The sequence below is a fragment of the Homo sapiens genome, chromosome 5 (assembly GCF_000001405.40).
Source record: "Homo sapiens chromosome 5, GRCh38.p14 Primary Assembly".
NCBI lineage: Eukaryota > Metazoa > Chordata > Mammalia > Primates > Hominidae > Homo > Homo sapiens.
Genome location: NC_000005.10, coordinates 72,955,911 through 72,980,289, shown reverse-complemented (window position 1 = coordinate 72,980,289; position 24,379 = coordinate 72,955,911). Strand labels below are relative to the sequence as shown.

At 38.9% G+C, this 24,379-nt stretch overlaps 1 protein-coding gene across 9 annotated transcripts in view, besides 1 other annotated feature; it reads right to left on the bottom strand.

Annotated features, from left to right (window-relative positions):
* The window catches only part of FCHO2 (FCH and mu domain containing endocytic adaptor 2), a 134,482-nt gene extending 110,233 nt beyond the window's left edge, over window positions 1-24,249 (bottom strand). For all 9 annotated transcript variants that reach the window (NM_138782.3, NM_001146032.2, XM_017009016.3 and 6 more), the window contains exons 1-2: window positions 24,161-24,249; window positions 11,701-11,792 (exon numbers count right to left, since the gene is read on the bottom strand). In NM_138782.3, the coding sequence (NP_620137.2) occupies window positions 11,701-11,792; window positions 24,161-24,193 (125 nt within the window). In that variant the 5' untranslated portion in view covers window positions 24,194-24,249. The remainder of the gene's footprint in view (window positions 1-11,700; window positions 11,793-24,160) is intronic.
* Window positions 23,657-24,356: a silencer, noted in NCBI's record as "silent region_16086". NCBI's record gives its function as "represses an Ori minimal core promoter by ATAC-STARR-seq in GM12878 lymphoblastoid cells {active_cell/tissue: GM12878}" and the evidence as "EXISTENCE:reporter gene assay evidence [ECO:0000049][PMID:35858748]".

Sequence of the window (24,379 nt, the reverse complement as noted above, 5' to 3'; positions counted from 1 at the left end):
CAAATTAGAACTCAGGAATAAGAAACTCACTGAAAACTGCACAACTACACGGAAACTGAACAACCTGCTCCTGAATGACTACTGGGTACATAACGAAATGAAGGCAGAAATAAGTAAGTTCTTTGAAACCAATGAGAACAAAGACACAACATACCAGGATCTCTGGGACACAGCTGAAACAGTGTTTAGAGGGAAATTTATAGCACTAAATGCCCACAAGAGAAAGCAGGAAAGATCTAAAATTGACACCCTAACATCACAATTAAAAGAACTAGAGAAGCAAGAGCAAACAAATTCAAAAGCTAGCAGAAGACAAGAAATAACTAAGATCAGAGCAGAACTGAAGGAGATAGAGACATGAAACAGCGTTCAAAAAAATCAATGAATCCAGGAGCTGGTTTTTTGAAAAGATCAACAAAATAGATAGACCGCTAGCCAGAATAACAAACAAGAAAAGAGAGAAGAATCAAATAGACACAATAAAAAATGATAAAGGGGATATCACCACTGATCCAATAGAATTACAAACTACCATCAGAGAATACTAGAAACACCACTATGCAAATAAACTAGAAAATCTATTAGAAATTGATAAATTCGGCCGGGCGCGGTGGCTCACGCCTGTAATCCCAGCACTTTGGGAGGCCGAGGCGGGCGGATCACGAGGTCAGGAGATCGAGACCATCCTGGCTAACACGGTGAAACCCCGTCTCTACTAAAAATACAAAAAATTAGCCGGGCGTGGTAGCGGGCGCCTGTAGTCCCAGCTACTCGGGAGGCTGAGGCAGGAGAATGGCGTGAACCCGGGAGGCGGAGCTTGCAGTGAGCCGAGATCGCGCCACTGCACTCCAGCCTGGGCGACAGAGCGAGACTCCGTCTCAAAAAAAAAAAAAAAAAAAAAAAAAAAAAAAGAAATTGATAAATTCCTGGACACATACACATACACCCTCCCAGGTCTAAACCAGGAAGAGGTAGAATCCCTGGACAGATCGATAACAAGCTCTGAAATTGAGGCAGTAATTAATAGCCTACCAACCAAAAACAGCTCAGGACAAGACGGATTCACAGCCAAAATCTACCAGAGGTACAAAGAGGAGCTGGTACCATTCATTCTGAAACTATTCCAAACAATAGAAAAAGAGGGACTCCTCCCTAACTCATTTTATGAGGCCAGCATCATCCTAATATCAAAACCTGGCAAAGACACACACACACAAAAGAAAATTTCAGGCCAATATCTCTGATGAACATCAGTGCGAAAATCCTCAATAAAATACAGGCAAACCGAATCCAGCAACACATCAAAAAGCTTATCCACCACTATCAACTCAGCTTCATCCCTGGGATGCAAGGCTGGTTCAACATACGCAAATCAATAAATGTAATCCATCACATAAACAGAATCAATGACAAAAACCACATGATTATCTCAATACATGCAGAAAAGGCCTTCAACAAAATTCAGCACCACTTCACGCAAAAAACGCTCAATAAACTAGGTATTGGTGGAATGTATCTCAAAACAATAAGAGCTATTTATGACAAACCCACAGCCAATATCATACTGAATGGGCAATAACTGGAAGCATTCCCTTTGAAATCCATCACAAAACAAGGATGCCCTCTCTCACCACTCTTATTCAACATAGTATTGGAAGTTCTAGCCAGGGCAATCAGGAAAGAGAAAAAAATAAAGGGTATTCAAATAGGAAAAGGGGATGTCAAATTGTCTCTGTTTGAAGATGACATGATTGTATATTTAGAAAACCCCATCGTCTCAGCCCAAAATCTCCTTAAGCTGGTAAGCAACTTCAGTAAATTCTCAGGATACAAAATCAATGTGCAAAAATCACAAGCATTCCTATACACCAATAATAGACAAACAGAGAGCTAAATCATGAGTGAACTCCCATTCACAATTGCCACAAAAAGAATAAAATACCTAGAAATACAACTTACAAGAGATGTGAAGAACCTCTTCAAGGAGAACTATGAACCACTGCTAAAGGAAATAATAGAGGACACAAACAAATGGAAAAACATTCCATGCTCATGCATAGGAAGAATCATATTGTGAAAATGGCCATACTGCCCAAAGTAATTTATAGATTCAATGCTATCCTCATCAAGCAATCATTGACTTTCTTCACAGAATTAGAAAAAACTACTTTGAATTTCATATGGAACCAAAAAACAGCCTGTATAGCCAAGACAATCCTAGGCAAAAAGAACAAAGCTGGAGGCATCACTTCAAACTACACTACAATGCTTCAGTAACCAAAACAGCATGGTACTGGTACCAAAACAGAGATATAGACCAATGGAACAGAAGAGAGTCCTCAAAAATAACACCACAAATCTACAACCATCTGATCTTCGACAAACCTGACAAAAACAAGCAATGGGAAAAGATTCCCTATTTAATAAATGGTGTTGGGAAAACTGGCTAACCATATGCAGAAAACTGAAACTGGACCCCTTCCTTACACCTTATACAAAAAATTAACTCAAGATGGGCTAAACACTTCAACGTAAGACCTAAAACCATAAAAACCCTAGAAGAAAACCTAAGCAATTCCATTCAGAACATAGGCATAGGCAAAGACTTCATGACTAAAACACCACAAGCAATGGCAACAAAAGCCAGAATTAACAAATGGGATCTAATTAAACTAAAGAGCTTCTGCACAGCAAAAGAAACTATCATCAGAGTGAACAGGCAACCTACAGAATGGGAGAAAATTTTTACAACCTATCCATCTGACAAAGGGCTAATATCCAGAATCCACAAAGAACTTAAATTTACAAGAAAAAAACAACCCCATCAAAAAGTGGGCAAAGTATATGAACAGACACTTCTCAAAAGAAGACATTTATGCAGCCAACGAACATAAGAGAAAATGCTCATCATCACTGGTCATTAGAGAAATGCAAATCAAAACCACAATGAGATACCATCTCATGACAGTCAGAATGCCCATCATTAAAAAGTCAGGAAACAACAGATGCTGGAGAGAATGTGGAGAAACAGGAATGCTTTTACACTGCTGGTGGGAGTGTAAATTAGTTCAACCATTGTGGAAGACAGTGTGGCAATTCCTCAAGGATCTAGAACCAGAAATATCATTTGACCCAGCAATCCCATTACTGGCTATATACCCAAAGGATTATAAATCATTCTACTATAAAGACACATGCACACATATGTTTATTGCAGCACTGTTCACAATAGCAAAGACTTGGAACCAACCCAAATGCACATCAATCACAGACTGGATAAAGAAAATGTGGCACATATACACCATGGAATCTACGCAGCCATAAAAAAGCATGAGTTCATGTCCTTTGCAGGGATATGGTTGAAGCTGGAAAGTATCATTCTCAGCAAACACAAGAACAGAAAACCAAACACCACATGTCCTCACTCATTAGTGGGAGTTAAACAATGAGAACACATGGACACAGGGAGGGGAACATCACACACCAGGGCCTGTTTGGGGGTTGGGGGCTGGGGGGCTGGGGGAGGGATAGCATTAGGAGAAAGACCTAATGTGGATGACAGGTTCATGGGTGCAGCAAACCACCATGGCACATGTATACCTATGTAACAACCCTGCACGTTCGCACCTATATCCCAGGGCTTAAAGTATAATAAAAAAATTTTAAAAAAAATAGTAAGAACACAAACAACCATATTAAAAACAAAAATGAGCCAAAGACCTTAACAGATACCTCACTAAAGAAGATACACAGCTGGCAAATAAGCATATGAAAAGATGGAGGAAAGGTGTGCTGGTTCCCTCCTGTAATCGCAGAGCTTTGGGAGACTGTGGCGGGAGGACTGCTTGAGACCAGGAGTTCAAGACCAGCCTGGGCAACATGCTGAGACCACATCTTGACAACAACAAAAAAGCCAGGTGCAGTGGCTCACACCTATAATCTCAGCACTTTGCAAGGCTGGGCAAGGAGGATCACTTGAGGCCAGGAGTTCGAGACTAGCCTGGGAAACATAGCAAGACCTTGCCTCTACAAAAAAAAATTAAAAGCAAAGATGCTCCACATCATATGTCATCAGGAAAATGCTAATTAAAACAATGATAAGATACCACTATATACTTATTGGAACAGCCAAAATCTAGAATACTGACCACTCCAAATGCTGGCAAGGATGTGGGGCAATAAGAACTCTAATTCATTGCTAGTTAAAATGCAAAATGGTATTGTCACTTTGGAAGATGGGTTTCTTACAAAATTAAACATATTCTTTCCATATAATCAAGTAACTGCGTTCCTTGGTATTTAAATTTTAATTAATTAAATTAAAACTTATGTTCACACGAAAACCTGCACACAGATGTTTACTGCAGCTGTATTCATAATTGCCAAAACTTGGAAGCAACCAAGATGTCCCTGAGTAAGTCAGTGGATAAAATGTAGTACATCCAGACAACAAAATATTATTCAGCACTAAAATGAAATGAGCCTGGCCAGGCACAGTGGCTCATGCCTGTAATCCCAACACACTGGGAGGCCGAGATGGGTGGATCACCTGAGGTCAGGAGTTCCAGACCAGCCTGGCTGACATGGCAAAACCCCGTCTCTATAAAAAATACAAAAATTAGCCAGGCATGGTGGTGCATGCCTGTGGTCCCAGCTACTCAAGAGGCTGAGGCACAAGAATTGCTTGAACTTAGGACAGGGAGGTTGCAGTTAGCCATGATCGCACCTCTGCACTCCAGCCTGGGCTGGGTAACAGAGCGAGACTCTGTCTCAAAAAAAAAAGAATAATACAAAAATCAGCCGAACATGATGGCGCAGGGCTATAATCCCAGCTACTTGGGAGGCTGAGGCACAAGAATCGCTTGAATCCAGGGGGCAGAAGTTACAGTGAGCATTGACTGAGCCACTGCACTCCAGCCTGGGTGACAGAGCTAGACCCTGTCTCAAATCAATCAATCAATCAATCAGATAATGTATACAAAGTTTACGTTTTTTCCTTTCTCATTGGGTCCTTCAAGAAATATGATTATCCTATTGTTCCAGGCTTTGTGCTAGCCACTGGGATACAAACAAATACTGTTTCACAGAGGAACATAAAAACAAATAAAAATAAATAATTACCAAATTTTATAAATACTACAAAGAGATAGGTGATGTAACAAAAGATTATATTAGGTGTTTTTGACCTAGTCAGAGAGATTAGGAAAGGCATCCTTAGAGCAGTGACCACTTTGCTGAGCTCTAAAGAATAAGTAGGCATTCAATATTCAACATTCTTAAAGAAAAGAATTTTCAACCCCGAATTTCATATCCAGTCAAACTAAGCTTCATAAGTGAAGGAGAAATAAAATACTTTACAGACAAGCAAATGCTGAGAGATTTTGTCACCAGCAGGCCTGCCCTACAAGAGCTCCCGAAGGAAGCGCTAAACATGGAAAGGAACAACCAGTACCAGCCGCTGCAAAATCATGCCAAAATGTAAAGACCATCAAGACTAGGAAGAAACTGCATCAACTAACGAGCAAAATCACCAGCTAACATCATAATGACAGGATCAAATTCACACATAACAACATTAACTTTAAATGTAAATGGACTAAATGCTCCAATTAAAAGACACAGACTGGCAAACTCGATAAAGAGTCAAGACCCATCAGTGTGCTGTATTCAGGAAACCCATCTCACATGCAGAGACACACATAGGCTCAAAATAAAGGGATGGAGGAAGATCTACCAAGCAAATGGAAAACAAAAAAAGGCAGGGGTTGCAATCTTAGTCTCTGATAAAACAGACTTTAAACCAACAAAGATCAAAAGAGACAAAGAAGGCCATTACATAATAGTAAAGGGATCAATTCAACAAGAAGAGTTAACTATCCTAAATATATATGCACCCAATACAGGAGCACCCAGATTCATAAAGCAAGTCCTGAGTGACCTACAAAGAGACTTAGACTCCCACACATTAATAATGGGAGACTTTAACACCCCACTGTCAACATTAGAAAGATCAACGAGACAGAAAGTCAACAAGGATACCCAGGAATTGAACTCAGCTCTGCACCAAGTGGACCTAATAGACATCTACAGAACTCTCCACCCCAAATCAACAGAATATACATTTTTTTCAGCACCACACCACACCTATTCCAAAACTGACCACATACTTGGAAGTAAAGCTCTCCTCAGCAAATGTAAAAGAACAGAAATTATAACAAACTATCTCTCAGACCACAGTGCAATCAAACTAGAACTCAGGATTAAGAATCTCACTCAAAACCGCTCAACTACATAGAAACTGAACAACCTGCTCCTGAATGACTACTGGGTACATAACGAAATGAAGGCAGAAATAAAGATGTTCTTTGAAACCAACGAGAACAAAGACACAACATACCAGAATCTCTGGGACGCATTCAAAGCAGTGTGTAGAGGGAAATTTATAGCACTACATGCCCACAAGAGAAAGCAGGAAAGATCCAAAATTGACACCCTAACATCACAATTAAAAGAACTAGAAAAGCAAGAGCAAACACATTCGAAAGCTAGCAGAAGGCAAGAAATAACTAAAATCAGAGCAGAACTGAAGGAAATAGAGACACAAAAAACCCTTCAAAAAATTAATGAATCCAGGAGCTGGTTTTTTGAAAGGATCAACAAAATTGATAGACCACTAGCAAGACTAATAAAGAAAAAAAGAGAGAAGAATCAAATAGACGCAATAAAAAATGATAAAGGGGATATCACCACCGATCCCACAGAAATACAAACTACCATCAGAGAATACTACCAACACCTCTACGCAAATAAACTAGAAAATCTAGAAGAAATGGATAAATTCCTCAACACATACACTCTCCCAAGACTAAACCAGGAAGAAGTTGAATCTCTGAATAGACCAATAACAGGATCTGAAATTGTGGCAATATTCAATAGCTTACCAACCAAAAAGAGTACAGGACCAGATGGATTCACAGCCAAATTCTACCAGAGGTACAAGGAGGAACTGGTACCATTCCTTCTGAAACTATTCCAATCAATAGAAAAAGAGGGAATCCTCCCTAACTCATTTTATGAGGCCAGCATCATCCTGATACCAAAGCTGGGCAGAGACACAACCAAAAAAGAGAATTTTAGACCAATAGCCTTGATGAACATTGATGCAAAAATCCTCAATAAAATACTGGCAAACCGAATCCAGCAACACATCAAAAAGCTTATCCACCATGATCAAGTGGGCTTCATCCCTGGGATGCAAGGCTGGTTCAATATACGCAAATCAATAAATGTAATCCAGCATATAAACAGAACAAAAGACAAAAACCACATGATTATCTCAATACATGCAGAAAAGGCCTTTGACAAAATTCAACAGCCCTTCATGCTAAAAACTCTCAATAAATTAGGCATTGATGGGACGTATTTCAAAATAATAAGAGCTATCTATGACAAACCCACAGCCAATATCATACTGAATGGGCAAAAACTGGAAGCATTCCCTTTGAAAACTGGCACAAGACAGGGATGCCCTCTCTCACCACTCCTAGTCAACATAGTGTTGGAAGTTCTAGCCAGGGCAATTAGGCAGGAGAAGGAAATAAAGGGCATTCAACTAGGAAAAGAGGAAGTCAAATTGTCCTTGTTTGCAGATGGCATGATTGTATATCTAGAAAACCCCATTGTCTCAGCCCAAAATCTCCTCAAGCTGATAAGCAACTTCAGCAAAGTCTCAGGATACAAAATCAATGTACAAAAATCACAAGCATTCTTATACACCAACAACAGACAAACAGAGAGCCAAATCATGAGTGAACTCCCACTCACAATTGCTTCAAAGAGAATAAGATACCTAGGAATCCAACTTACAAGGGATGGGAAGGACCTCTTCAAGGAGAACTACAAACCACTGCTCAAGGAAATAAAAGAGGATACAAACAAATGGAAGAACATTCCATGCTCATGGGTAGGAAGAATCAATATCGTGAAAATGGCCATACTGCCCAAGGTAATTTACAGATTCAATGCCATCCCCATCAAGCTACTAATGACTTTCTTCACAGAATTGGAAAAAACTACTTTAAAGTTCATATGGAACCAAAAAAGAGCCCGCATCGCCAAGTCAATCCTAAGCCAAAAGAACAAAGGTGGAGGCATCACACTACCTGACTTCAAACTATACTACAAGGCTACAGTAACCAAAACAGCATGGTACTGCTACCAAAACAGAGATATAGATCAATGGAACAGAACAGAGCCCTCAGAAATAATGCCACATATCTACAACTATCTGATCTTTGACAAACCTGAGAAAAACAAGCAATGGGGAAAGGATTCCCTATTTAATAAATGGTGCTGGGAAAACTGGCTAGCCATATGTAGAAAGCTGAAACTGGATCCCTTCCTTACACCTTATACAAAAATCAATTCACGATGGATTAAAGACTTAAATGTTCGACCTAAAACCATAAAAACCCTAGAAGAAAACCTAGGCATTACTATTCAGGACATAGGCATGGGCAAGGACTTCATGTCTAAAACACCAAAAGCAATGGCAACAAAAGCCAAAATTGACAAATGGGACTAATTAAACTCAAGAGCTTCTGCACAGCAAAAGAAACTACCATTAGAGTGAACAGGCAACCTACAAAATGGGAGAAAATTTTCACAACCTACTCATCTGACAAAGGGCTAATATCCAGAATCTACAATGAACTCAAACAAATTTACAAGAAAAAAACAAACAACCCCATCCAAAAGTGGGCGAAGGACATGAACAGATACTTCTCAAAAGAAGACATTTATGCAGCCAAAAAACACATGAAAAAATGCTCACCATCGCTGGCCATCAGATAAATGCAAATCAAAACCACAATGAGATACCATCTCACACCAGTTAGAATGGCAATCATTAAAAAGTCAGGAAACAACAGGTGCTGGAGAGGATGTGGAGAAATAGGAACACTTTTACACTGTTGGTGGGACTGTAAACTAGTTCAACCACTGTGGAAGTCAGTGTGGCGATTCCTCAGGGATCTAGAACTAGAAATACCATTTGACCCAGCCATCCCATTACTGGGTATATACCCAAAGGACTATAAATCATGCTGCTATAAAGACACATGCATATGTATGTTTATTGCGGCATTATTCACAATAGCAAAGACTTGGAACCAACCCAAATGTCCAACAATCATAGACTGGATTAAGAAAATGTGGCACATATACACCATGGAATACTATGCAGCCATAAAAAATGATGAGTTCATGTCCTTTGTAGGGACATGGATGAAACTGGAAATCATCATTCTCAGTAAACTATCACAAGAACAAAAAACCAAACACCGCATATTCTCACTCATAGGTGGGAATTGAACAATGAGAACACATGGACACAGGAAGGGGAACATCACACTCTGGGGACTGTTGTGGGTTGCGGGGAGGGGAGAGGGATAGCATTGGGAGATATACCTAATGCTAGATGACGAGTTAGTGGGTGCAGCGCACCAGCACGGCACATGTATACATATGTAACTAACCTGCACATTGTGCACGTGTACCCTAAAACTTAAAGTATAATAATAAAAAATAAAAAATAAAAAAAAAGAAAAAGAAAGAAAAATAAAAAGAAATGCTGCATTATTGATGATCTTGATGGTCCAGAGACTGATACCCTGTGAAAAAGATAGGATTTTGACATGTAATTCAGAGGGATAAAATATAAATGTGGAGTCATTTTAGGAATATTTTAACCAACTTATTGAATTTATATTTTACTTCTTTTGAATGGAAATTAAAGTTCTAAATAAAAAAAAAAAAGAATAAGTAGGCATTAACTAGGTGAAGAGAAGAATAAGTATTTACAAAGCCTGGACTAGACAGAGGAAGCCTGTCTATAAGATACCCAGTATCTCTGGAGTGGAAAGAATAAGGAGCAGCCTGTAATTCATGTATCTCTTTGTACTATGTATGCAGTTTTGTTATTACTCATTTTTGTTAATTGTTTCTATGTTCTCCTGTGAGACAATATTCTGTTGTATCCCATGCCTAGCATAGAGCCTAGAACAATAAGACCTGAAAGGTAGTTTTAGGGTCAGAATATGCAGGCCTATCTTAAGAGCAATGGGAAGCCCTTGAGATGGCTGAAAGAGAAGAGGTAACAACTGATCTGTACTATATTTCAAAAAAACCACTCCAACTACAGTAGACAGAGTAAGTTGCAGGAAAACAAGAACAACTGTAGATAGAGCAGTTACGAGCTACTGCTGAAGTTCAGGCAAAAATAATGATAGCTGGGATCAGCATAATGAAGTTACAGATTCATTCTATGGAAAAACCTTTACTGAGGGCCTACCAAGTGACAAGCACTATCACAAGTGCATAAATAGAGCAAAAAGACAAAATAAGCAAAAAAAGACAAAAATCCCTGCCCTTGTTGGGTTTATATTCTAGTGGGAAGAGACAGAAAAATAAATAAATGAAATATCACTTTTATCAGACAGTTATACATACTATGGAGAAAAATAAAGTAGTAAAGGGGAAGTATGACGGATTGTCTCACTACCCAAAGAATCAGAAAGGGATAGATTCTGGGCAAAGGAAGGATAACCCAGGAGTCCTGGACTTCTTAAGGTGACTAACATAAACAGGGCTCAAAGGCATAATATCTGCCCTGATGGTTGCAAAGTAGACAGTGATAGTAGTGAAGTGTAGGGGAAGAGGGAAGGCTAAGGAACATGCCAAGAGATGCAGAGTTCTGCGGCCTTTCCTTTGCTCCTGCCAATGATAATGTAGAAGCCCGGAGGAAGGAGAGCCTTACCCAGAGCACTTGAGCTTTTGCATTCCTTGTTGATTCCAGTAGAGAGGAGGGAGTAAGAAAAGAACCGAACTTATAGAATAGTTTATTCCCCAATTCCTATCAGTCTGTAAACTCCATGAAGGGAGAAGCTGTTATCTTAACCACTATATTCCCATAATCCAGACAAGTAGCTGGTACACAGCACTGATGGGATATACATTGTTGAAAGAATACATGAATAAATGGAGTATTAAATTTAAAGCCAAAGTATCCCTATATTATCAAGGTAAAGATTTTAAATGTGTTCATATAAATAATTACAAAGTTGGGGTAGCCACAAAATAGCTTTAAGTTAGTAGGATAGCAGCTTTTGAGTTGTTTGATTTTGAATCATAATCAAATTATATTTATTCTTAATAGCTTTTAAATTCGCTATATTCTAAGAGTCTTAACAACAATCACATTTTATAAATTTGCAAGATTTTAAAATATATACTTAGGACTTTTAAAAATAAAAGTTACAAAAACACAAAATTAAACTGAAGTTCAGAAAAGTTAGTCTTTTCTAATTATTTTAGCATGGTTAACAAATGTTAATGTTTTATCCTACAAACTTCTCAACTGTATTATATCACCTTGCTAGCATATCCAGTGAAAAATATGTAGATAATATTTTCAAGAAGGAATCCACAAACCAGGGGTATTAAACTTTGAGCCACTTTGAGCCACTATACAGCCCTCAGCTGTGTAGATGATAGATACAAATAGATAGATATAATTACAGTACATATTTTAAAACAATTACTTTATTCCAAATCCAAATAAAGTTTTCTCCATTATTTATATTCTAAAATTTAAATTGCTATTAAGTTGTTAAACAAATTACTTATTTAAAAAATACATACCGTTCCCTTACAAAATCTGCTAGTTCTTTTGTTGATATCTGTCCATGTTTCATATTATGGTAGAGGACATCAAAGCCACTATTTTTTTCCCCCTAAAATTTAAAAAGATTTTTAGTTTCATAAAAAAACAGATAAAAATGACTTGAGAATATAAAAAGCCAACATTAACTAATATGCAATCCTGTGCTCAGGTGAGGTGTTTTCATAAATTTTTCTCATTTATTGTATGATTTTAAACAGTATAAAGCAATATTATATGCTTTAATAAAGTTTACAATTAACTATATATACATATACCTACATACAAACATATATGCATACACTTTGTAATCACCCATAAAGGTACAATTAATAAAATTAAGTTGTGACCGGGTGTGGTGGCTCACACCTGTAATCCCAGCACTTTGGGAGGCCGAGGTGGGCGGATCACGAGGTCAGGAGGTCGAGACTATCCTGGCTAACATGGTGAAACCCCGTCTCTACTTAAAATACAAAAAATTAGCCGGGCGTGGTGGTGGGCACCTGTAGTCCCAGCTACTTGGGAGGCCGAGGCAGGAGAACGGCGTGAACCCGGGAGGCAGAGCTTGCAGTGAGCCGGGATTGTGCCACTGCGCCCCAGCCTGGGTGACAGAGCAAGACTCCATCTCAAAAAAAAAAAAATTAAGTATGAGGCCAGGCGTGGTGGCTCACGCCTGTAATCCCAGCATTTTGGGAGGCGGAGGCAGGCGGATCACTTGAGGTCAGGAGTTCTAGATCAGCCTGGCCAACATGGTGAAACCCCATCTCAGCTAAAAATACAAAAATTAGCCGGGCATGGTGGCATGCACCCATAATCCCAGCTACTTGGGAGGGTGAAACAGGAGAATCGCTTGAACCCGGGAGGTGGAGGTTGCAGTGAGCTGAAATCACACCACTGCACTCCAGCCTGGGAGACAGGGTGAGACTCTGGCAAAAACAACAACAAAAAATTAAGTATGAAATTTTAAGGAATATGCAGCATAATTAAGAAAAGATAAACATGGACCTTTCAAAACATATTACCAAATCCCATTTCAATCTCTTTAACACACAGTAAGAAATTCCTGATTATTTAATTTGGAGTTTGTGCTTTAAAATAACTAAATCTTGATTTCTGAGTTAAGACAGTAAAGTACTTAAGTCACATCAGCATTGAGTATCACAAAATACTTAGATCTTTCAGTAAACTTAACCTGAGAAGGGAGAAAATAGACAAAATTTAACAAAAGAGAAGAGGCTATGTGCTAGTCTTTAATTAATGGGATTTTCGTTTGTTTGTTTTTGTTTTTGAGACAGTCTCACTCTATCATCCAGGCTGGAGTGCAGACGTGCAATTATGGCTCACTGCTACCTCCCCATCCGGGTTCAAGCGATTCTTGTGCTTCAGCCCCCTGAGTAGCTGGGATTACAGGTGTGCACCACCACATCTGGCTAATTTTTGTATTTTTAGAAGAGACAGGGTTTTGCCATGTTGGCCAGGCAGGTCTCGAACTCCTGGCCTCAAACGATACACCTGCCTTGGCTTCCCAATGTGCTGGGATTACAGGTGTGAGCTACTATGCCCAGCCTAATTAATGAGATATTAATAGAACTAGATCACTACACAATCCTGGAAAACCTCTACTGTTGTTTAATCCTATGAATCCTTAATTAGTAAATCATAAAGATAACATTAGAAATGTCAATTTATTCGATGAAATAAAAGACAGCTGATACACTAGGTTTAACAACTCTCTTTACAGGCAGCAGTTTTTATTCTTCTTTAGTGAAAATGGAAAAATGGAATATATTTGTTGGAAAGTGTTATACCATAAGCAAGTGTTACATAATACAAAACTTGATTTTTCCACAGTCCACTGAAAACAGAAAGCATAAAAACTTCCAGCTATGTTGAAGTGATTCCTGATAAACTCATCAGCTAATGTAGCTAGTAATTACTTTGCCTACATATCACAAATTAAAATGTCACATCTGTAACAAGATAATATGAACAATATCCTTAGCATTTTGAATAACCATTTCCATTTATTAAGAAGAATATAACATAAAACCACAGCCTCTTGTGAATCCAAACATTTCCATTTGGCTTCTGCAACTTTACATGTTTAAGATTTTTTTAAAAATTTATTGTCAGAGGCTTGTGCCTGTAATCCCAGCTACTCCAGAGGCTGAGCAAGGAGGCTTGCTTGATGCCAGGTGTTCAAGACCAGCCTGGCCAAAGTGAGAACCTGTCTCTAAAAAAACAAAAAGATAAGGGTTTGAAACTTCTCCTTCGGTGAACTTTTTAAGAGTAACAGTAAATTAGACACTAAAAATAAAAAACCTGGATAGCATTCAGTTTTTTAAAAAAAGTTTATGTAGAAACAGGGTCTCGCTATGTTGCTCAAGCCAGTCTCCCAACTCCTAGCCTCAAGCAATCCTCCCACCTTGGCCTCCCAAAGTGCTGGGATTACAGGTGTGAGCCACTGCATGTGGCGAGCATTCACTTTTGGTGAGTCCAAGATTTGAAAAATAGGCAGAAGATAGATTGTATATTGTATAATCACATTACTGATTAAAAAATTGGTTTTACCAAGTTTCCTTTTTTTCAAAAAGTTCTTTGGAGGGGTAAGAGAAGGGTCAGGAGGTACTATCCTGCAAACACCAATAACATGCCTAACCTCCCTCTCAACTCTAAACCACCTCAAAAATAAATAAATACTATAACTTCCCACCCTGTCTACATTTTCCTTTTAATTTAGCTCTTATGGACATTTAATAGACAACCCTGGACAAGTCAATGCACAATATAACATTCATATTTTTGATACAGTCTCACTTTATCTTGACTTCTCTGAAACACACCAAAAAACATTTTACTAATCCTAAAGATTTTTTTCTTTGAAGAACAGCCCCTTTAGTGAAGAACCTACAGATACGCTTTGATGAGAACTCAATAGACATGCAATGACAGCTCTCCAGTGCCACTCTGGCCTTGAAAACTGCTAGGGAGCTGGAGGTAAAATACAGGCACACTTCATTTTACTGTACTTTCTTTTATTGAGCATTGCTTTACTGCACTTTGAAAATACTGCATTTTTACAAATTGAAGGTTTGTGGCAATCGTGTCAAGCAAGTCTATCAGTATCTTTTTTCCAACTGCATGTGCTCACTTCTTCCCTGTTAGCATTAGCAATAAAGTATTTTTTAATTAAGGTATATACATTTTTAGATAAAATGCTATTGCACATTTAATACACCAGTATAGTGTAAATAATATAGTGTAAACATAACTTTTATATGCACTGAAAAACCAGGAGTTTGTGACTTGCTTCACTGTGGTTGTTTGAATTCAATACACAATATCTCTAAGGTATGCCTTTGTATGCAAGCAATTTTTCTACAGGTATACGGGACGTTCAACCACAAGTTACAACCTCTTCTCATCAATACTCTTATTTGTACAGTAGTCCCCTCTTCTCCACAGGGGATATGTTTCAAAACCCCCAGTGGATGCCTGAAACCATGGATAGTCACGAACCCTTTATATACTGGTCATGAACCCTTTATACACTGTTTTTTTTTTTTAATCTGATAACCAAGATGGCTGCTAAGTGATTAATGGGCAGGAAGGGTATATACTATGGATGCACTGGACAAAGGGATGATTCGCATACCAAACAGGACACAGTGAGATTTCAATGCTTATGAATTATTTCTGGAATTTTCCATTTAATATTTTCAGACTGCAGTTGACCTCAGATCTGAAACTGTGGAAAGTGAAATTATGGATGGGGAGACAACCGTACATTGACATTTTTAGTCATGATCATTAAAAGTACTCTGCAGAGCTACTGGCAAGAGATACTGCTAATGGAGAAAATAGTGACTAAAATATATAGAATGCTCAGGCGCGGTAGCTCACACCTGTAATCCCAGCACTTTGGGAGGCCAAGGTGGGTGGATCACCTGAGGTCAGGAGTTTGAGACCAGCCTGGCCAACATGGTGAAACCCCGTCCCTACTAAAAATATTTTACAAATTTGCCAGGTGTGGTGGCGTGCCCCTGTAATCCCAGCTATATTGGGAGGCTGAGCCAGGAGAATCACTTGAACCCGGGAGGCAGAGGTTGCAGAGCTGAGATCATGCCACTGCACTCCAGCCTGAGCAATACAGCGAAACTCAGTCTCTAAATAAATAAAAATGAAATAAAGTATGTAGAATAGGCAGTCAGAACGATTTGATGCAGGTACAAAAGTGACTCAAACATATTTGTTGGTTGATTGAAGGAAAGAAATCTTACTACCTTTCAAAAAATTGTTTTTCTCACCTCTCAGATATTCTTCCCTAATCTTTTATATTATAGTTCACCTCTGCCAGTTAGTTGAATCCTTAAAGCTATCTAAATAAATATTATATGGGTTGAGAAAAAACTACAGAAGCAAACAGTAGTTAATTTTTTAATTTTTATATATTTTGCGTTTTCTGTAATGTTCTATAAATGAAAGTATTTTTCATTACTTTCAAAATAAAAAAACTAAACCAACAATTTCAGTTTTCTCAGCTCTTCAATCTATGCCTACAAAGAGACAGAAGGCTACTTTCTTAAACTGGCATCTTGTTCACATCAGTACTTAAATCTCCAGTCCTTGTAATTCATAAACAAAAAAAAAAAAAAAAAAAAAAAAAAACTGAAAGTTCCCATACAAAATGGGAATGATTAAAGAAAATTACAGCCTATCTGGCCAGGTGTGGTGGCTCACACTTGGAATCCCAGCACTTTGGGAGGCTGAGGCAGGAGGATCCCTTGAGGCTAAGAGTTTGAGACCAGCCTAAATAACATAGCAAGACCTCGTCCCTACAAATTTTTTTTAAAAATTAGCTGGGTGTGGTGGCATGCGCCTGTAGTTCTAGCCACTCCAAAGGCTAAGGCAAGAGGATCCCTGGAGCCCAGGAGTTCAAGGCTGCAGTGAGCTATGATGGTGATGGGGCCACTGCACTCCAGCCTGGGCGACAGAGGAAGACCCTGTCTAAAAAAAAAAATTTACAGCCTATCCATTCCATGGAAACCTATTAAAGAATACTTATTCACATGAGAAAAATGCTTGATGGTAATATCAACTGAAAATACCAAGACACACAACCATATAGTAGAATCTATCTTGAATTTTGTATTTCTAAAGAAAATTATAAGGGTAGAGGGAGAGGCTATAGGCAATTTGTGTTCTGTATTCTTCTGTGTTTTACCTATCCCATAATAATGGTTTTAATTAAAAAGGAAAACCATGCAGACTTGTGGCTGTTGCTTCAACCAACTGAAAACTCACTCCCCTTGGTTTTAAGGCTCCACCACCACCACTAATTTGCTTTACTTATATTATACTTTCCAATCTTTTCCCTAAAGTCAAGCAAACGTGCTTGATATATCTTCCATAATCTTCACTCCTTCAAATACATCAGGGAGCATGACTATCTCCTCAACTTTATCACACACTGTAACACTTTCCAGTTTAATTATCTCTGACTCTGGCCATTCCAGCAACATCCTCTTGCACATTTATCAATATAGTAGATATCATTACAGGTCTCAGTTGCTGTCATGCTGTTGTTTTTGTTTCTCCCCACATCACAACAATTTATACTTATCTTTTTGGACCAGATTGCTACTAAAATTCTTCCAATTCTAATACTTTTTTTTTTTTGAGACAGAGTCTTGCTCTGTCGCCCAACTGGAGTACAGTGGCGTGATCTCGGCTCACTACAACCTCTGCCACCCGGGTTCAAGCAATCCTCCTGCCTCAGCCTCCTGAGTAGCTGGGACTACAGGTTCGCACCATCACGCCCAGCTAATTTTTGTATTTTTAGTAGAGACGGGGTTTCACCATGTTGGCTAGGATGGTCTTGATCTCTTGACCTCATGGTCCGCCCACCTCAGCTTCCCAAAGTGCTGGGATTACAGGCGTGAGCCACTGCACCTGCCCCAACTCTAATATTCTTTAATTTTTCCACACTAAGAAAACTGAAACCCAAGTCCTTATTCCCTTCCTTTTTAAGTTTCCATGGGATCCTATTTCCATTTGAATTTCTAAGGGTGCTTCCGTTAACTATTCTAGAATTATGACATCAGGATGGATAATCTCAGGAGATACCTCAGTGACTCAAAAAACTACTTTCAAAGGGCTTATATTAGCCACATGTGCAGGATGATTTAAAGCATAACTGTTCCCTCATCCTTTGCTTAAATAATTTAAGTAGTTCTGAAAGGACTACAGCATTTAGGATTTAGTGTGTAGAGCTAAAAAAGAACGCAGACATCAAATTTATATCCTTTCAAATGTCAAAGTTCTAAAATCCTCCCCCTGAACTGAACATATATACACACTAAATCAGTACCAATTTTCACTTCCAAATTTCTCCTATAATTAAGGTTAAAAAATAAAACAAATCACACCCCTTAAAAAATTCTAAGGGCCTCTCAAATTTTAGTGCAATCTAAAACACTATAATTTTATAATGTCTACTGTCAAGTCTTCTGCATCAAGTTAAATGAATCTGTAGTCTTCATTTTCACAGCTTGTTGCAATGGGAACAAGTTGGGCCTGGCTAACTTGCTAAAAGTTATACAATAATAATTTTAACCTAGTGGAGTGTATGTTATTTGGTCTCATCTGTGGAAAACCATATAAGAAATTGGTAATGGTGAAGCCGGGCATGGTGGCTCATGCCTGTAATCCCAGCACTTTGGGAGGCCGAGGCAGGCGGATCACCTGAGGTCAGGAGTTCGAGACCAGCCTCAACATGGAGAATCCCCATCTCTACTAAAAATACAAAATTAGCCAGGCATGGTGGTGCATGCCGGTAATCCCAGCTACCAGGGAGGCTAAGGCAGGAGAATTGCTTGAACCTGGGAGGCAGAGGTTGCAGCGAGCTGAGATCGCGCCATTGCACTCCAGCCTGGGCAACAAGAGCGAAACTCCGTCTCAAAAAAAAAAAAGAAAGAAATTGGTAATGGTGATTGCCTTTAGGGACATCTTGATTACCAGAGAAAAAGAAGATTTACTCCCTCTTATACCTTTTAAATATTAAACCATGTAAAATTTGCAAATCTCTTAATGTATAAAGTAAATATATACAGATATATAGATTTTGTTTTGGTATGTCATCTGATGGGATCATATCCTAAAAACAGGTATCCCAAACTACAATATTTGGAAATTTCAAGTAATGAAAAGCCTTTATTCTGGGTTTCAAATATGGTCACCTAAACTAATTTGCTAAAGATATATATTTTAAAATTTCATATGGATACATAACCCCAAAGAATGTGTGTTAGTCTCTCATCTAGGATACTAAGTTTAGATTAATCAAGCAAAAATATAATAATGTTTTTTATCCCAAAGACCTATTAATAGCAATTCCAGAATTTTAAAATACATTTTAATTCTCTTAGCTTATCCAAGTAATGATAAATCAAATTTTGGGTATATAACCAATGTTTCAATTTAATTTTAAATCAAAATGTAACAAAACCAATAAAATCAAGTGAAATGAGACTTCTGTACAGTTAATCAGTAAAAGAAATAAGGAAAAACTTCAGGATAAAAATACCTAATTGTTGTTTGTTCATTTTTTATGTGCTGACTATAGATAACCTCTGGAAAAAGTCACCTAACTAAAAATCTCAGCTCATTACAATGTGATATATACTAAAGAATACTACTTAGTGTCTTTGGGTGAATGCTTCATATCGTATATAGATTGGGATTACTCTGTAAAATGAAGATTATAAGCTATTCAACTCAGGTATGTTTTACATACTTATTTGTCCCCCATTAATAATTACCTATGAAATGCATTAAGGTTTTTTTGCTGAATAATCTGGGTTTACATAAAAATATAATGCCATTTTAATTATTACATAGCAATGTTGTTATAATCTCAAGACTATTATAAACTTGTACTCAATTATTCCTTTGAGAAAGCAGCGGCTTAGACACTTCCTCACTGTAATACTGATCAATATCTTTTTAAAGTTACATAATCTTTTATAATATCTTTTTAAAGTTACATAATGTTTAATATGTAAAAATAAAGATAAAAAACAATTGTTTTTACATATTAAAAGCAATGGTGTGAATTTCTACTAGTAAAATTATTTTTGCGTCCAATTTTAATTTTGCTGTCCAATTTCAGCTTGATTATCAATGGTGCTATACTTCGTGGCAAAAACTGACTTATCAATAACAAAACACCTGTTCTGTAAAAGGTTTTGAATAATTTTTCCTTCAAAGTACAGTATTAAGTAAAGGAATTTTCAATTTAGCATATAGTTTCAATTGAGAAAACCTATACTTTAAAGAAAAAGGAAGAATGTGCTGCTTTCAAAAGAGCTTGAAGAGAGTTTCAACGATTCAAACTTTCTTCTAATGAAATGTCACAACAAAAAAGGTTTGTCTTTATACATGTAGGGGAGAAAACAATTAATAGGTTGTTTGATTAGAAACCTAAAACTTTGGCTGGGCACAGTGGCTCAGCCTTTTAATCCCAGCACTTTGGGAAGCTGAGGCGGAAACATGGCTTGAGCCCAGGAGTTCGAGACCAGCCTGGGCAACATAGCGAGATCTCATCTCCACAAATAATTTAAAAACCAGCTGGTCATGGTGGCCTGTACCTGTGGTCGCACCTACTTGGAAGGCTGAGGTGGGAGGATCATTTGAGCTTGGGTGGTTGAAGCTGCAGCGAGCCATGCTCGTGCCACTGCGTGCCAGCCCAGGCAACACGGTGAGACTGCAATTCAGAAAAAAAAAAAAAAAAGAAAGAAGAGAAGAGAGAGAAGAGAAGACAAGACAAGACAGACCTAAAACATCAAAGGTTCTCACTACCTCACTTTGACAAGTTTTTATCTTTTAATTGATGAAAAACATATATATTTATCATATAGAGCACGATGTTTTGAATTTTGACAATTTTATTTCCTTTTAATAGTTCCACTTTAAATGCTAGAGGGAAGAGTTAAATTAATATCTATTTTAAGGGATTATTTTATAAATGATCCTGAAATATGTGAATTTTTAGTTTTCTGTTTTTGAGACAGGGTCTCACTCTGTTGCCCAGGCTGGAGTACAGTGACCAATCATAACCTACTGCAACCTTGAACTCCTGGGCTCAAGCAATCCTCCTACCTTAGCCTTCCAAGTAGCTGGGACTACAGGCATATGCCACCACACTTGGCTAATTTTTTAAAATTTTTTGTAGAGACAAGGTCTACTGTGTTGCCCAGGCTGGTCTCCAATTCTTGGGCTCAATCCATTCCCCTGCCTCAGCCTCCCAAAGTGCTGGGATTACAGGAGTGAACCACCATGCCCAGCCTAAAATGACAACTATAAATTCTCGGAAGTTAATTATTTAGTTAATTCCTAGACCTTCCTAGCTCACTGAGCCTCCTCACAGCCCCAATTCCAAGCCAGGAAATAAAATAAAATGCAGTCTATTAACTATTTGTTTTCAATAGTGAAAGTGAAGGCAAAAACTAAAACATAAATTAGATTTGGAGGTCTCTCCAGAATTCAAATATTGAAGTTTATTCCCATCCCTCTTGTAACAAGAATACCCAAGAAGCACATAAAAATGTGTAGAAAGATATTCAGAGAAGTATTATTCATATTAGCCAAAAACATCAAACAAAGCTATGCTCAAAGCTCAATTAACAGAAAACGAAACATAACTTTTAATGTGAAGATGCAATTTGGAATTAAGTTAGCAACTTAAAAAACATTCATGCATCAAAAATATGCATAACATTTACAAGAGCATCAATTTTTAAATGCTCTTTAAAACATTTTATAAATTGCCATTGTAAAACCTAATGCCTAAAATTGACAGGCTAATCCTAAAATTCATCTGGAAATGCAAGGAACCCAGGGCAGTCAAAATAATCCTGAAAAAGAAGGAAAAAGCTAGAGGACTCATACTTCCTGATTCCAAATTTGCTATACAAAACAAATTTGTAATCCAAACAACAGCAATCCAAACTGTGTGTTACTGGCTGTCGTAAGGGAAGACAATGGAATAGAATTGAAAATACAGAAATGAATCCATACATTTCTGGTCGATTGATATTTGACAATGGTACCACAATTCAACGGGGAAAGATGAACCTTTTCAACAAATGGTACTGGGACAACTGGATACACAATTGCAAAAGAATGAAGTTATACCTTTCCCTTGCACCATACACAAAAATTAACTTCAAATGGATCATAGAACTAAACAGAAGAAGTAAAACTATAAAACCCTTACAAGAAAACAAGAAAAAAGGCGTAATTTTTGGGTTAGGCAAATAATTTTTGGGTTAGATGCAATAAAAGCACAAGTAATAGAAAAAAATAGATAAGATGGACTTCACCAAGACTTCACGAGAAATAAAAACTTATGAGTTACTTCAAAGAGCAGCATCAAGAAAATGAAAAGGCAGGCCACAGAATGGGAGAAAATGTTTGCACATTATGTATCAGATAAGGTGTGTATCCAGAATATTAAAAAAAAAAAAACTCTTACAACTCAATTATAAAAAAAGACAACCCAATTTTTAAATGGGCAATTAATCTAAATAGACATTTCTCCAAAGAAAATATAAAAATAGGCAATAAGCACATTAACTGTGATGTTAAGCATCAAAGAAACGCAAATCGAACCACAATAAAATATTAATACTACTTCACGTTCACTCACTATATTATAATAAAAAGGACAAATAAGTGTTCGTGAGCATGTGGAGAGGAACCCTCAGATATTGCTGGTGGGATTGTAAAATGCTACAACCACTTCAGAATAGTATGGCAGTTCCTCAAAATGTTAAACATAGAGCTACGATTTGACCCAGGAATCCCATTCCCAAAAGAAATGAAAACATATGTTCACACAAAAACTTGTACAAAAATGTTCATGCAGCATTATTCATAACCCAAAAGTGGGAACAACCAGATGTCCATCACTGATTGGATAAATATTAATAAAATGTGGAATGGAATATTATTTGACCATAAAAAGGAATTAGTAGTGATACATGCTACATCATGGATAAACTTTGAGAACATTATGCTAAGTGAAAGAAACTGGTCACCATGGCCCCATTTATAGGATATGTCCAGACTAGACAAATGCAGAGAGGCAGAAAATACATTAGTTGCCTAGGCCTGGGGCAGGGGGAAAATGGGGAGTGACTGCTAATGGGTCTAGGGATTCTTTCTGGGATAACGAAATTGTTGTAAAACTGATATGGTGATGTTTACACAACTCTATGAACATATGAAAAAACCTCTGAATTGTACTACACTTTAAATGAGTGTATTGGTACGGAAATGTGAACTCAATAAAGCTGTTTAAAAAACAAAACACCTAAGGTCTAGTATATACGTTCTTTGTGGAAAACAAGGTACATTCAAGACAAATAAATAACTATGAACTGATCTGATTACTAACCAAGACCATGCTTGAGGCACTTAGAATTAAGAATTTAACATACATTCCTTACTAGCTAAAAGATTACCCCTTTAAATATGTCTAAATCTCAACGAAAATGGACCTGCAGTACTTGCAACTGTCAGGGCATAAAATGGGATTCACGAAAGATACCTGAGTAAACACGTTCCTTTCCTGTACATGGCTGAACTGTACTTCCCATTACAAAAAAAAAAACAATAACTGCAGAAAAATACTCCACCGGGAGCCGGAGAAATTCTCAAAGAAGAATCTAATACTGAGCTAAGACAAGGGGTGGAAAGAATGAGGAAGGGGAAGGAGCACAGAGTAGGGGGAGGTCTCCATGCATTTAAGCCCAAGGAGTCCAGTTACATTAAATCCAACTTTTAAACGCTTTGTGAACAGGCCCAGAGGCAAAGTCCTGGGCGCAAACCCACGAGCCGAGCTGCGAGGCTGAGAGGAAGTGCTAGTCCAGCCCAACCCCGCACTGGATTTGGTGTGGAAACCGTCAGAGGTAAAAGGGATCGCTCAGATGGGGGGCCCGCGGTGAGGGCAGGAGGCAAAACCCCACCGCCCGGCGCTCCCAGCCAGCGCGCAGCGGGAGGCGGCTGTGCCGCGGGCCCGTCCTTCGCGTCCGAGCTGCCGCGCACGCCCCGCGCGGAGCGCGGCACCGGGAGCCTCCGGTGGGGCTGGGTCCCGTCTCCCGCCCCATCCGGCGCTTTGTCCCAGCCCCGGTGGCCGGCGGCCCCGCTGCGGGCCCCCGGGCCGCGGTGACAGCCCCCGTCCCCATAGGGCTGCGAGCCCGGGAGTCCCTATAGGCTGGCGACCGGTCGCCCGCCGGACCTCACCCAGGCGGGACGCGGCAGGAGGACGCTCGCCCTGCCGGAGGGGCCGCCGCCGCCGCCCGAAGCGCACGCAGGCCAAGCTCAGGCGCCAAAAGCCTTGGACTTCGAAACACACGACTTCCAACATCCTAAGCTTACCCAAAAATTCTCGACGAAATACGCCATGACCATCGTGCCGCCGCCGCGCCGGGTTCCGCGTCCGCGCCCGCCCGCCGCTGTGTAAACACGGCCCGGCCCCCACAGCACCCCCGCCTTTCGCCGCCGCCGCCTTCTTCCCAGAGACCGGCCCGCACCTTCCAGGGCGCATGCGCCACCTAGCGGCTGCCGCAGCTGGGCGAGCACTTAGACGCCACGGCC